At 49.8% G+C, this 12,173-nt stretch overlaps 1 protein-coding gene across 11 annotated transcripts in view, besides 3 other annotated features; it reads left to right on the forward strand.

Annotated features, from left to right (window-relative positions):
- Positions 1 to 12,173, forward strand: part of CMIP (c-Maf inducing protein) — a 266,955-nt gene that overhangs the window by 204,278 nt on the left and 50,504 nt on the right. For 8 of the 11 annotated variants that reach the window (XM_047434717.1, NM_198390.3, XM_011523352.2 and 5 more), the window contains 3 exons: positions 3,118 to 3,279; positions 8,690 to 8,731; positions 11,799 to 11,861. In XM_047434717.1, coding sequence (XP_047290673.1) covers positions 3,118 to 3,279; positions 8,690 to 8,731; positions 11,799 to 11,861 — 267 coding nt within the window. Of the gene's footprint in view, positions 1 to 2,305; positions 2,602 to 3,117; positions 3,280 to 8,689; positions 8,732 to 11,798; positions 11,862 to 12,173 lie in introns of those variants that run through there. The other 3 variants (XM_047434720.1, XM_047434721.1, XM_005256182.1) reach the window with 3 other exon arrangements.
- Positions 3,451 to 3,510: an enhancer, noted in NCBI's record as "active region_11196". NCBI's record gives its function as "activates an Ori minimal core promoter by ATAC-STARR-seq in GM12878 lymphoblastoid cells {active_cell/tissue: GM12878}" and the evidence as "EXISTENCE:reporter gene assay evidence [ECO:0000049][PMID:35858748]".
- Positions 3,620 to 4,344: an enhancer, noted in NCBI's record as "OCT4-NANOG-H3K27ac-H3K4me1 hESC enhancer chr16:81686310-81687034 (GRCh37/hg19 assembly coordinates)". NCBI's record gives its function as "activates a minimal SCP1, AML or CMV promoter by ChIP-STARR-seq in primed H9 embryonic stem cells {active_cell/tissue: H9 hESC(primed)}" and the evidence as "EXISTENCE:reporter gene assay evidence [ECO:0000049][PMID:30033119]".
- Positions 4,345 to 5,070: an enhancer, noted in NCBI's record as "H3K27ac-H3K4me1 hESC enhancer chr16:81687035-81687760 (GRCh37/hg19 assembly coordinates)". NCBI's record gives its function as "activates a minimal SCP1, AML or CMV promoter by ChIP-STARR-seq in naive H9 embryonic stem cells {active_cell/tissue: H9 hESC(naive)}" and the evidence as "EXISTENCE:reporter gene assay evidence [ECO:0000049][PMID:30033119]".

Raw genomic sequence — 12,173 nt, forward strand, 5'->3', positions numbered from 1 at the left:
CCCTATGACAAGCCCCCAACTCATGGGATACTGTGAGGATTGAGTGGGATAAAGCTCATAAGAGCTAGCACTGTGCTGGCACATGGTATGTCCTCATGAAATTTTAGCCCTTGGTACAAGCCCTGGGATCTTCTGGCTCTGAATACAGCCTCTGCAGACTCTCCCATGGATGCCTGTGAGGCAAGGGCTTGGGCCCTCCCGGGAAAGCTGTTGTCCTCCCCGCTCCAAGGAGGGGAGCTGTGGATGAGCTGAGGCTGGGTGTACCGACCCCGAGGGCTCGTGTCTGAAACTGCGTTGGTGCCAGCGTTGCCCACTGGGCCCTGCTATGCCTCAGACTGGTTGCCTCTGCATCTTGAGTGGCATCTGTGTGTGGAGAACAGGAGATTGTACTCATGGCCACCCACCTCAGGGCTGGTTGTATTTTGCAAGTTTAAATGAGACTTCGCTGGAATGATGTTCACCAAATATTAATGGTGGCTATTTCTGGGTTGTGGGATTTTTGAGGCCTTTTAAAACTTATCCTCTTCTTTGTGCTTTTCAGTACAGTTTAGATTTTTTGCAATGAGCATGCATCATCTTTCGCAAAAGAATGAAGTCATTAATCTTTCAAAAGTAAATAATGTGCAGCTGATCAGAAGAGTCCACTTAGAGCCCAGACTCCATGCAAATGTAAGACACGGGTGTGGATCGCTGTGGTTTGCTTTGGGGCTTGATATAGGGTGGATTTTGTGAGATCATTTCATGGTCTTTTAAAAATTAAACAATTCTCTGGGTACAAACTAAAACCACAGACTCTGAGGCTCAAAGGAGCATTCATCCTCTGGAGCGGGTAGGGTTCTTGCTTCAGACATGTTGGGTTTTGCACAGATATTTCATCGTGCTATTCAGGCAGCGTGTCCTGCTCACAGCACTAGGACAGGGCGGCTTTGGTTGACAGTAACTAGGAAGGAGGCTGGTTATGGTTCCAGAGACGCCTCAGTGGACTGGGTGCGTCTCATCGTTAATGAAGTTCAGCCAGTAGTCACTGTCACCATCGTCAACATCAACTGCATGTTTACTCTTCACTGTACACTCACCCCCGACAACTTGTCACGCGTTTCTTCCTGTCCTCGTAGGGTCTCCAATGGCTGGCAAGTGAATGTTCCTGGTCTTTCCCCTCCCGCTCCCTGGGGAATGCTGGGCTGCCCTGGCCTCCTCTGCTCTGCTGGGCCTATGAGAAGAGCTGATCTCTTTCTAATTCTTGATGTGCAATGGGTGAATGGGCAAAGAATAGTAAGACCAGGTGCTGGAAGGAGGAAAGAAAGGTGGGCAGGTGGGTAGATGAAAGAACTAGAGAGAAGGAGAAAGAAGGAGCAGAGAGAGGAGAAGGGAGAGATGACGGGAAAGACTTGGGGTGATGGGCGGGGGGAATGAAAACCGTCTTTGGTGTGAGTTCATGGGGGCGACACCAGTGGCAATGAGTATATCAGAGGCCCCAGAAAATCATGGGGTGCGGGAAAATAATGGAGAGGAGGAAGATGGGATGCCGTATTGGCCTAGGTTTTACGTTTCATCTCCTTCAGTTTTTCAAGAGACAGATTCAGTCTCAGCGTTCCTTTTTGTGACTCTTGGCTGATTTATCTGGACTTGACTTTTGAATGCGGCTCCATAGAGTGGACCACATGGGTCCAGGATGGGTCAGGGTTACAGATTGAAAGAGGTGCCGGTATTTTCCATCCTGACTTACAGAACAGGACCCTAAGGCTCAGAAGGTGAAAGTTTTCTAGGAAGAACCAGATCTTTCCGACTCAGGTCCACCTCCCGTCCCACCAGTGTGCCTCACCGACAGAAGTAACCGTTCCACTTGGCATGGAATGTGTCCCTCAGATACTTCCTTGATAGCGGTGGGTCCCTTGACCACTTGATAATTCCTAGCTCAGAAACTCAGCGGTCAGGGAGGCTCTGGCAGCTTCTAAGTTTCTGTTTGAGCCTTAGCAGTTCAGCAAGGGACCCTCCTCTCCCCCCTCCTCTTTCTGACTTTGGCTCAGAGATTGTGACATGTCACCCCAGCTGGCTGCTGGCATGGTAACACTAAAATTAGGCTCTCCCTAAGGAGCAGAGCACTTAATGAAGGAGTTCATCCAGTTAGAAAGTCTCTCAAGCAGGCCGGGTGCATGGGGCAGGCAGCTGCAAAGGCGGGAGCCCGGGCGGGGGTGGAGGGAGTGCTTGGCCCAGACCTCCGCCTTCCGAGGGCCTCCGTTTCCATGATGTCAGAGAGGCGGAACTAACTCTGCCTCAAATCCAGGGAGGCAGCAGCCCCTGTCCCAACCGCTCTCTGGCTTCGACACAGCGCCCAAGCAAAGGTGAGAGCACTCTTGTCTTCCTCACCAGGTGGATGCGGAGGGCAGCGCTGGATTTCCCGGGGGAGCATTCCAGGTTTAGTCCCTACCTGGCCGGAGTCTAATTCCTGGCCTTAATCCTGTCTGTCATGTTCCCTAGCTGACTACCTGTCTTCAAGCGACCTCTTGGGATTGACATAGGCGGAAACAGTGCCTTCAACTCAGAGAAAGCCCCTTTGTGGACTGACCATTCCCACTCTTACTGCGCTTGAATCCTTGGGAAGTGAGTTTGGCAGAAGATACGATCTAAAAGAGAAGTCTCCCCCTTTTCTTTTTGAAGTCATTGGAAACTGTGTGGAGACAGTATAGTATGGTGGTGAGGGCACTGGCTTGAGAGCCCGAGCACATGTTTCTGTCTCAGCTCTGCCAACTCTAGAGCCCTGGGCAGATTTTCTAACCTCTTGTGTACCTCGGTTTCTTCATCCTTTTAGCAAAAACAAAAACAAAAAAACAGGAAAAAAGAAAAAGGTAATCTATCAAGGATTATCATCAGGGTGAAGTGAGCCTGTGTGGGAAATGAGTCTAGTGTCAGGAGGCCTGGCTGCAAATGCACCCCGTGACTTTGGATGAGACCCTTCCTCTCTCGGGGTGTCAGTTTCCTTATAAACGGGGACTGGGCCAAGTTGTCAGTTTCTCAGGGCCCTTTACACCCTAACCCATCTGATTCTTTGATTGTCTTCCATCTTCTGCCTTCCTTACGTGAGTAACATGTTGCTGTCTCTTTATCTCTTTCAACCAGAAAAAGATTTACAAATATAAGAAAGTGCTGAGTAACCCAAGCCGCTGGGAAGTTGTCTTGAAAGAGATCCGGACCCTGGTGGACATGGCCCTGACATCCCCCCTGCAGGATGACTCCATCAACCAGGCCCCACTGGAAATCGTCTCGAAACTGCTCTCAGAGGTAAAACCCCTCCCCTGGACCCCTTTACATTGTTTGCCTTTCCCTCCACCGATCACCGGCTCCATGCCAAGCAGCAGGCGCAGGCAGAGCTCCGTGTGGGCTGTGTTGTTGCCCTGCTGCCGAAGGAGGTGAGCAGTTGCCCACCCAGCCGTGTGTGGGAGTTGGGAGAGGGAGGCTTGCCCCAGCTGCTTGCAGCTGTGCTGTCTGGGGATTGTAGGCACCGAAGAGGAGGTGTTGCCCCGTGCAGTGAGAGCCAGTAGTCCCATCCCCATCTCTGTCTTCCCCTAGCAGTGGCCCACATGAGCTCCAGGGGTCCAGGGGGATTCAGCTTTCTGCCCTCGTCACCCCACAAAGCCTGTAGATGTGCTCTGTTTAATTTAAACACCATTTTAAAAATCAGGAGATTTCACAGTACAGTGGGAATTTCCAGGTTCTCTTTAAAAACAATCAGAAAATCCAGCCGCGGTTTGCAGCTGGTGCTACCTGATGCCACCCGTCGGCTGGGCCTCCTGTGCCATCTGCTTTGCTGGCCTCCTCGCATATTGAATGTGTGCTTTGTGCCAGGCACCATCTGGGAATTCAAGCAAAGACAAGCCCCCTACCCCCCTGGAGCTTGTGTCCCGGCAGGGGAGACAGGCAGTGAACAATGAAACTCATCAGCGAGTCTGTCCCGCTGTTGGTTAGGCAGAAGGCGCTTCGGAAATGTGCTTCTTTCTGTTTTCTGTTTCAGGTGCTATTCTAGGCGCTTTACAAATATTAATACTGCTCTCGTTTATTTGCTCACCTGGCCCTCTGGGAACACTGGAGTTGATGACTCCTGATTTAAACTGTGCACAGCCACCAGACTGATGCTTCTGTCCCCCTCCCCTGACAGTGATACCCCCGGTCCTGAGTCTCCCCCGTCAAGCTCCCATGCAAGTGCCTGGCTGCCTGGAGCCCTCCCCTTTCTCTGCAGGCCCACACTGGCCGCTGCCCGTGGGACGGGGCCTGGCACCGGCCCTCCGTGTCTGTGGAGTAGAGAAGGTCCCTCACTCCAGGAGGAGGCGAGGTGGGAGGTAGAAAGTAGGTGGCAGTGACAGTCTCAGGCAGAGGGACAGAGGTCAGAGGTGTTGTCCTCAGTTGGGAGACCAGCATCGTTCCAAGAGGAGTAAAAACCCAGGCTGGGAAATGAATCACAGAGTGGCTGGAATTCTGAGCCTGGGTGCTGGATGTCCAGCTCCAGGTGCAGACTTCTCATCTGGAGAAGGGGTCCCTGCTCACCTGTAGTAAGCCAGGCAGGTGCCAGGTGCCACCCAATCTGGAGTGCAGTGGCGTGACGGCTCACTGCAACCTCCGCCTCCTGGGTTCAAGCCGTTCTCCTGCCACAGCCTCCCAAGTAGCTGAGATTACAGGCGTGCGCCACCATGCCCAGCTAATTTTTGTATTTTTAGTAGAGACAAGGTTTCACCGTGTTGGCCAGGCTGGTCTTGAACTCCTGACTTCAAATGGTCCATCTGCCTTGGCCTCCCAAAGTGAGACAGCCTCTCTTTTAAAACTCACATTCTCTCTGAAAGATGGGCCTTTCTGTCTTCACTTCACAGATGAGGAAATTGAGGCCCAGTGATACTGAGTGACCTGCCCAACTCACGTGGCAAGTTTGTAATGGAGCTAGAAGTTCCACCTTAGAGTTGCCAAGCGCTTTTGAGACCAACTTGGCCACCACTTCAGCGCCACCAGGCTCAACCACCACCACACCCTTATTAAATCAGGGCAGTGCTGAGGGCAGCAGACGTGCCCCATTGCCGGCCTCGGGCAAGATTTTTTTTCCCCTCTCAGATGTGCTTCAGGTGACCGCATGACTGTTGGCCTTCACATCCCTCCTTGGGCTTTATTATTATTATTATTATTATTAACAATGGGGTCTCACTGTGTTGCCCAGGTTGGTCTCAAACTCCTGGGCTCAAGTGATCCTCCCACCTTGGCCTCCCAAAGTGCTGGGATTATAGGCATGAGCCACCACACCTAGGACCAGACACCTGGCTGAGGGTGCTTCTTGGGCTTTAAAGTAAAAATCTCAAAGGCAGCTGACCCTTAAGTGCTAGGATGGAGGAATAAAGATATTTAAAGTAGGAAAATGGAAGAAGTTTCCATGTGCTTTGAAGCTACTGTGTCAGGCAAGGAGTCAGCATTACTCACCCTACTTTACTGAAGAGAGCTGACATTTAGGGACAGAGCTGGGACTCCAGCCCAGGCTGCCTGACCCGGCATCCACTCATGCATGCTCTGCAGTGGTCAGTTTGATGGCCCTTAGACCTCCCCAGTTTCTCCCAAGGACCCTGCAAGGTAAGTATTAAAATGTATAGAGGAGTAACCAGGGGTGCTGAGAGGTTAAGTAGCTTACACAGGGCCAGTCAGATTAAGTGTTGGGCCAGGACCCTCGCCCGGGTCTGCCCAGTGATGAAGCTTATGCCCCTGCACATAGATGTGAGATAAACCCGGGTTGGTAGAGACTTTCTGGCAAGTATGTAACTATGGAGATGAAGAGTGAGAAACCGTGTTGTAGGGTCGGAAGGACCTTGTCCTGCCCTCAGTAGCTGGGTGGCCTTGGACAAGTTGCTAGGCCTTTCTGTGCCCAGTTGTTTTCTGTAAATTGGGTCTGAGACGAGTACCTATTTCACAGAATTGAAGATGCGATCCTCTCATATGCATAAAGTGCTTGGCACTGTGCCTAACTTGCAAGGGCCTTTGATACATGGCCACATTTTCATTGTCATAGGAGATGTCTGTGGTCTGAACCCCGTAAGCACCTTCAGCCAGGGGTCTGGAGCTAGTAGCTGGAAAAACAAACATCTGCCTTCGACCTCCGTGCCCTGTTTTGGGGCTGGGTTGTTTCTCTGTTCTGTTTGCCCAAGTTGTTTGCAAGGCCTCCTCTGGAGAGGTTCCAGGCATCACCAGACCAACCAGAAGGTGGAAGGATCTGGAGGGAGCAGGCAGAGGGGCATCGTGGAGGGAGCTGCTAAGGACGCAAAACAGTTCCGAGAAAGAACTGTCCGTCCACCAGCAAAGCAAAGCTGGCTGTCCCCACCCTCCCAGGCCTTTGTTGAGTTGCGTGTAAAGTGGCCGCTTAGCTCGAGAGTCAGGTGTTCCCTCTAATGCAGTGGCTATTGGTGGACATGCTCTACCAGGGGTGGAAAATGGCCCTGGGGGAGAGAAGGCTCCCTGTAGAATGCATGGGCTGTCCTGTGACTGGGACAAAGGAAATGATGTCCGTGGTCGCCAAAGCCTTCCTGGAAAGGTGCGTGGGTGGCGGCGAGGGATGGATGTGTCGAGCTGCCCTTGGCAGCCCAAAATAAGGAACTGCTTCTTGGATGGGTGGTGGAGCACTGTAGCTCAGTGGCAGGAAATATAGACTTTAGAGTAAGGACAGACGGGTTCATATCCTCACTGCAGCCCCTATTACCCTGCGCCTGCTAGTCACTGCATCCCGTCAGTCTTAGGCAGCTGATCAGTCAATGGGATAGTAGAGAACCTGTCATAATCAAAAGAAATTGGTGGCATGAGCAAAACAAAGCTCTTACACAGTGCCTGAGGCATAGAGAGCTCAGCAGTCATAAGGAGAGACCAAGGCCAGGCTTCTCCCCGAAGCTGAAAAATGACTGATAGTTAATAATCTACCATAAACAGGCTGCTCAAACTCCACTCATATCCACTAAAGAAAAAAAGCGTGTTCAGATCCAAAAAACATCCTTTCACATGCCTGCATTCTAGGTATCTTGGGTCCAACCTCACCTAGGTCAGGACGTCTCATGGGGACCGGTAGAGACTCATGTTGTTCATTCAGATGCTGACCTGGCTTCACGGCCTCCCGCAGCCCTCGGGAGCCAGCTTATTGGGCAAAAGCAAATTCATAGCTCGCAAGCTTTTCTTTTGCCTTGGCTTCTGTAAACACATTAGATACCCCCATATGCCTTAAGCCTGTCCAGGTGGTGGGAGCCATGGGGCTCTGTCTAGAACCAGAACAATCGATCTTGCCAACACTGTTCAAATGAGAGGTCTCTTTACAAGCAGCCAATGTGGCTCTTTTAGGAAATACGAATTGGCACCACTGTGTGTCCACCAAAACAGACAAGCAAAGCAGAACACACCACGAAACTAGCAAGAAAGAAGGGCGGGCACTTCTGAGTTTTCCTGTGATTCCTTGTTTATGGCACAGCCGTCTCTTTCCTTGTTCAAGTACTCACAGATGGCGGCACAGGTCGAGCATCTCTAATCGTGAAACCTGAAATGCTCCAAAGTCCAAAACTTTCTTTTTTAGAGACAGTCTCGCTCTGTCGCCCAGGCTGGAGTGTGGTGGCACAATCTCAGCTCACTGCAGCCTCCGCCTTTTGGATTCAAATGCTTCTCCTGCCTCAGCCTCCCGAGTAGCGAGTACCATGCCCAGATAATTTTTGTATTTTTTGTAGAGACGGGGTTTCACCATGTTGGCCAGGCTGATCTTGAACCCCTGGCCTCAAGCAATCCACACTCCTCAGCCTCCCAAAGTGCTGGGATTACAGGCATGGGAGCCACCATGCCTGGCCAAAAGTCCGAAACTTTCTGAGCATCAACATGACACTCAAAGGAAACGTTCATTGGAGAGTTTCAGGTTTTGCATTCTCAGACTAGGTTGCTCAACTGGTTAAGTATAATGCAGATATTCCAAAATTTAAAAAAAAAAAATGGAAATCCAAAACACATGTTCCCAAGCATTTTCAGTAAGGGATGTTCAACCTGTAACAGTTACCAATTATTTAAGAAAAGTCCAGATTGGGAAGGAAACAGGACCCCTAAAATTTCAGCAAATGTAATCCATTCAACCTAATTATGTTTTTGCAAGTCAGTTGCTAGAATTTGAATTCAGCTAAAACATCTCGGGCCCACTCACGGAACTTCATGTTCCTTGGGAACTTAGTTTGAGAAGCACTGAAATCATATACGTGTTACTCCTAAAAGGCTGCCTGGCACAGATTAGGACTCTTGAAAGGTCTGTTTCTTTACATACTTATTATGAACCTGCCTTCTGGCTTCTAAGCAGTTTCACTTTGACGAGGGCCAGATCCTCTCCCAATAGCCTATTGAGGTTACTGGAAGCCCTGTTGACCGAAGCAGGAACTGAGTCTCCCCTAGACTCGACTCACTCAAGGTCACATAACTCAAGCCCCGAAACAGGGACAAGAACTCAGTTCTCCCTGCCCCAAAACCATACCTTCTCCCCCTTCCCGACCTTGCCCCTGAGGGTGTTCTGATCTGTTTAATTAAGAAAAAATGACAGTGACAGTTGGTCTGTGACGCTGAAGATGTTTCAAAACTGTGGATCTTGAAATCCAAATGCTCGTTTTCTTAATTTTCTTTTGTTTTGTTTTCCTCCTGCTGTCTCCATTCAATCCTTTAGAACACAAACTTGACCACCCAGGAGCATGAAAACATCATTGTGGTAAGTTCCTCTCGAACACGCTCCCTCCACCCACCTCCGCCTCCTGGAGCCTACAACCCTTTTCCTGGTTTGGGGTAATTCTGGCGCCTGCGTAATCCACCAGCATCTGGCCTTGCTCCGTTTTGTCTTTTCTAGCAAGCCGGACGCACCTCCCTCTGCCTTTGCATATTTCAGAGCCCCAGTTGATAGGAGCGGGAGTGTAATTGTCTGTCTTTGAGGTTTGTAGCAAATGTATCATAATCGCCTCCTCCTTCCTGCGTCTCTGCCTAGGGAGTTGAAGGCAGGAGATGGCAGAGCCCGTATAATTTATTCAGAGGCATCACCCCATTAGCTGAAAGGTAAACGTTCTCTTTCTTGCCCCAGGACATGTCTCCCAATTAATCCACAAATAGAACTTGGATTTAATTCCCTGTGATACATAAAGTGAGATGCTATTTTCTGGGACTCTACCATGATGTAAGCATTTTTGGGGTAAAATATCTTCCTGAATGACTTTTAGCTACGAAACCTAACTCTCACTTGAGAGAAGAAAGAAATGAAATTGCACCTGCTAGATGGTAAGCACCATGCTATGTATTTGAATTCACAGATAACCTAGTCCCTAAGGAGTTCATCATCTATTGTAGGAAGACAAAAGTGATCACCGCAAAAAATAGAGACATTGAGTGCAGAGAGTAAGTAGAGTGATAAACTCCCCTGGGAAAGGAGCCAGAAAGCTTCCTAGAGGTAGTGCTATCTGAGCTGGGTTTTGAAGGATCAATAGGAGTTTTCCAGGTGGCAAAACGGGATAAAAGCATCCCAGAGAGAAGAAACAAAATGTGCAAGAGCACAAAGATTTAAAGCAACGTAGTGTGTTCTGGAAGCTTCAGCATTGCTGGAGCATAAAGCATAAGGAAATGAGAAGCAGGCGGATGGGAGATGAAATAGAAGCAAGAGGCAGAGCCTTTTGTGCCCAGGAGGGGACCTTGGAACTAACCTGCCTGGGATGTCTCCTGGCTGCAAGGTACAGAACAAGAGCAGCATCAGTCACTAGGCCCCTCACGCTCCTCTAGCCGAATCAGGGCCTTGGGGGACCCACTCAGTCGGCCCTGGCAAGCCTAGCTGGGTACTGTATGCACAAAATGAGGTGAGCCCCAGGCCTTTGATTGTGGAGAGTCAAGGCAGCAGCTTCTGCCTTTGCTGTCAGCTCCAGTGTCTGGCACGTAGTGGGCTCTCAGTGGGTGTTTGCTAACGCTAACAGTATAGAGGTTTTCTCCATGCTTTCACCCGGACTGTCCATTGCCTTCTCTTGCCAGAACAGGAGGACAAGTCAACCTGGGCACCCCCAATCACTCACCACCACCTTTTTCTGGCATAGTATTAATTCATCAATTCATTTAACGAACTTTGCTGAGCATGTGAGTCTGACTATGTGCCAGACACAGATAGAGAGCTGGACAAGACTTGAGGCCTGCCATTGAGGACTGAATGTGTGCTGAGAGAACCTGGCAGATCAACAGATAATACAAAAATAACATGGCCAAGGGCTGAGGTTTGTTCTGGGTGTTAGAGGGGGTGCAGAGGATAGGTACTTAACCTCTGTCAGGGAGGGTCCTGGGAGGATGATGATGGAGGACTTCCAGGAGGAGGTGACCAAGGTGAATCTTAAAGGATAGATAGGAGAATGTCAGGTAAACGGAGCAAGCTGGGGAAGGCAGTTCAGGCAGGGGGACTTACATGTGCAAAGGCAAAGTGGTAAGACGGGCTGCTGCAGAACCAGGAGCAAGCATGAGAGCTGGAAGGAGGTACTGCCTTCCTCTCCCTGCCAGCAACACCTGTGGGTCCCACTGAGTGCCTGGAAGCCCTGGATGGAGGACAAGGGCTTGCATTCAGGACAAGCCTGGGAAAGAAATTTTGATCTGAGAAATCCAGGCTGCATTTATCCAGCTAATGTGGCTGAACTGAACCCTTAATTGGGTCAGGTTGAGCTTCCCGGCTCAGCAGGAATGCCTGAGAACAGGAAAGAATTTGATCTGAGGGTCTGACCCTCACCCCTGCATTTTACAGCCTCCCCTTCCAGCATTCTTTTATTACTATTGCTGTTGTCATTATTATGATGCCTTCTGGAGCCTCCTTTCATTCCAACAGTTACATCCTCTTATTTGCCCTATTGGCAATTAGTCTTCTTTGGACATGCTTGGTAGTTTTTTATGCGCTAATTTTTCTACCATAGCTTGAGTTGGTTTTATTCATTCCATTGGCCAGGCAGTAGTAACCGTTGTTGGTCATGGACCAGGAGTCCAAACCCCAGCTGTGGTCCGGCTCACTATGGAAGGCGCTCACCATGGTGGTGAAGAACATGAGCTGAATCTAGGTTCAAGTTCAGAATCGAGTTCAGACCCAGACCCCAGCCATACTAGCTGTGACAGAACTTTTAATTTTACTTAAAATCTCATTTTGCAAGTATTTCTTTTTTCTTTTTTCTTTTTTTTTTTTAAGGCAGAGTCTCACTCTGTCACCCAGGCTAGAGTGCAGTGGCAGGAACTCGGCTCACTGCAACTCCGCCTCCTAAGTTCAAGTGATTCTCCTGCCTCAGCCTCCCGAGTAGCTGGGATTACAGGGGCGCACACCACCACACCCAGTTAATTTTTGTATTTTTGGTAGAGACGGAGTTTCCCTATGTTGGCCAGGCTGGTCTCCAACTCCTGACCTCAAGTGATCTACCTGCCTTGGCCTCCCAAAGTGCTGGGATTACAGGCATGAGCCACTGCGCCCAGCCAATTTTGCAAGTATTTCATGAGTATGAGTATGTTTTCATCAGGAAAAGAGTATTTCATCCCATCCCAGTGCCCTCTTTAGAAACACCTTGTTTTCAGGTGGTGACAAACCCACACAGACAGATACGGTTGTGGATTTTTGGGGGATTTTTTCTTTTCTTTTTTTTTCTGCTTTTAATATGAATGATGTGATGCAGGATGTGTTGCTCTGCATTTATTTTTTTCACTTCACAATATGGCCTGGAGATTGTTCGAAGTCTTTCCGTGGCTATCTACCCCACGGTTCCTGATGCTTGTTTGTTGTGTTTCAGGCAATCGCTCCTTTGCTGGAAAACAACCACCCACCACCAGATCTCTGTGAATTCTTTTGCAAGGTACGGGATTGCTGAGCTGGGGCTGTGGCTGCAGGAAGTAACCTCCCTCTGTGCGCATACCAGGGATTGGGTTTGCACAGAAAGGCCAAAAACCTGGGCCCCACCGTCTTGGGTCACGGTCCCAGACACAGGCGGAGAGGGCATGCCCGGCACCCATTCTTAGGGCTACACCCACGTCTCTGCCAGACAGGTGACAAAGAGTCACAAGGGGAACATCTTGCTTTTCCTTGGAATCACTTCCCGGCTGTCTTAGGAGACAGGTTGCTGCAGATTTCCTGGGCTCATGACGTCAGAGCTGGGTTATTATTAGCC

The sequence above is a fragment of the Homo sapiens genome, chromosome 16 (genome assembly GCF_000001405.40).
Source record: "Homo sapiens chromosome 16, GRCh38.p14 Primary Assembly".
Taxonomy (NCBI): domain Eukaryota; kingdom Metazoa; phylum Chordata; class Mammalia; order Primates; family Hominidae; genus Homo; species Homo sapiens.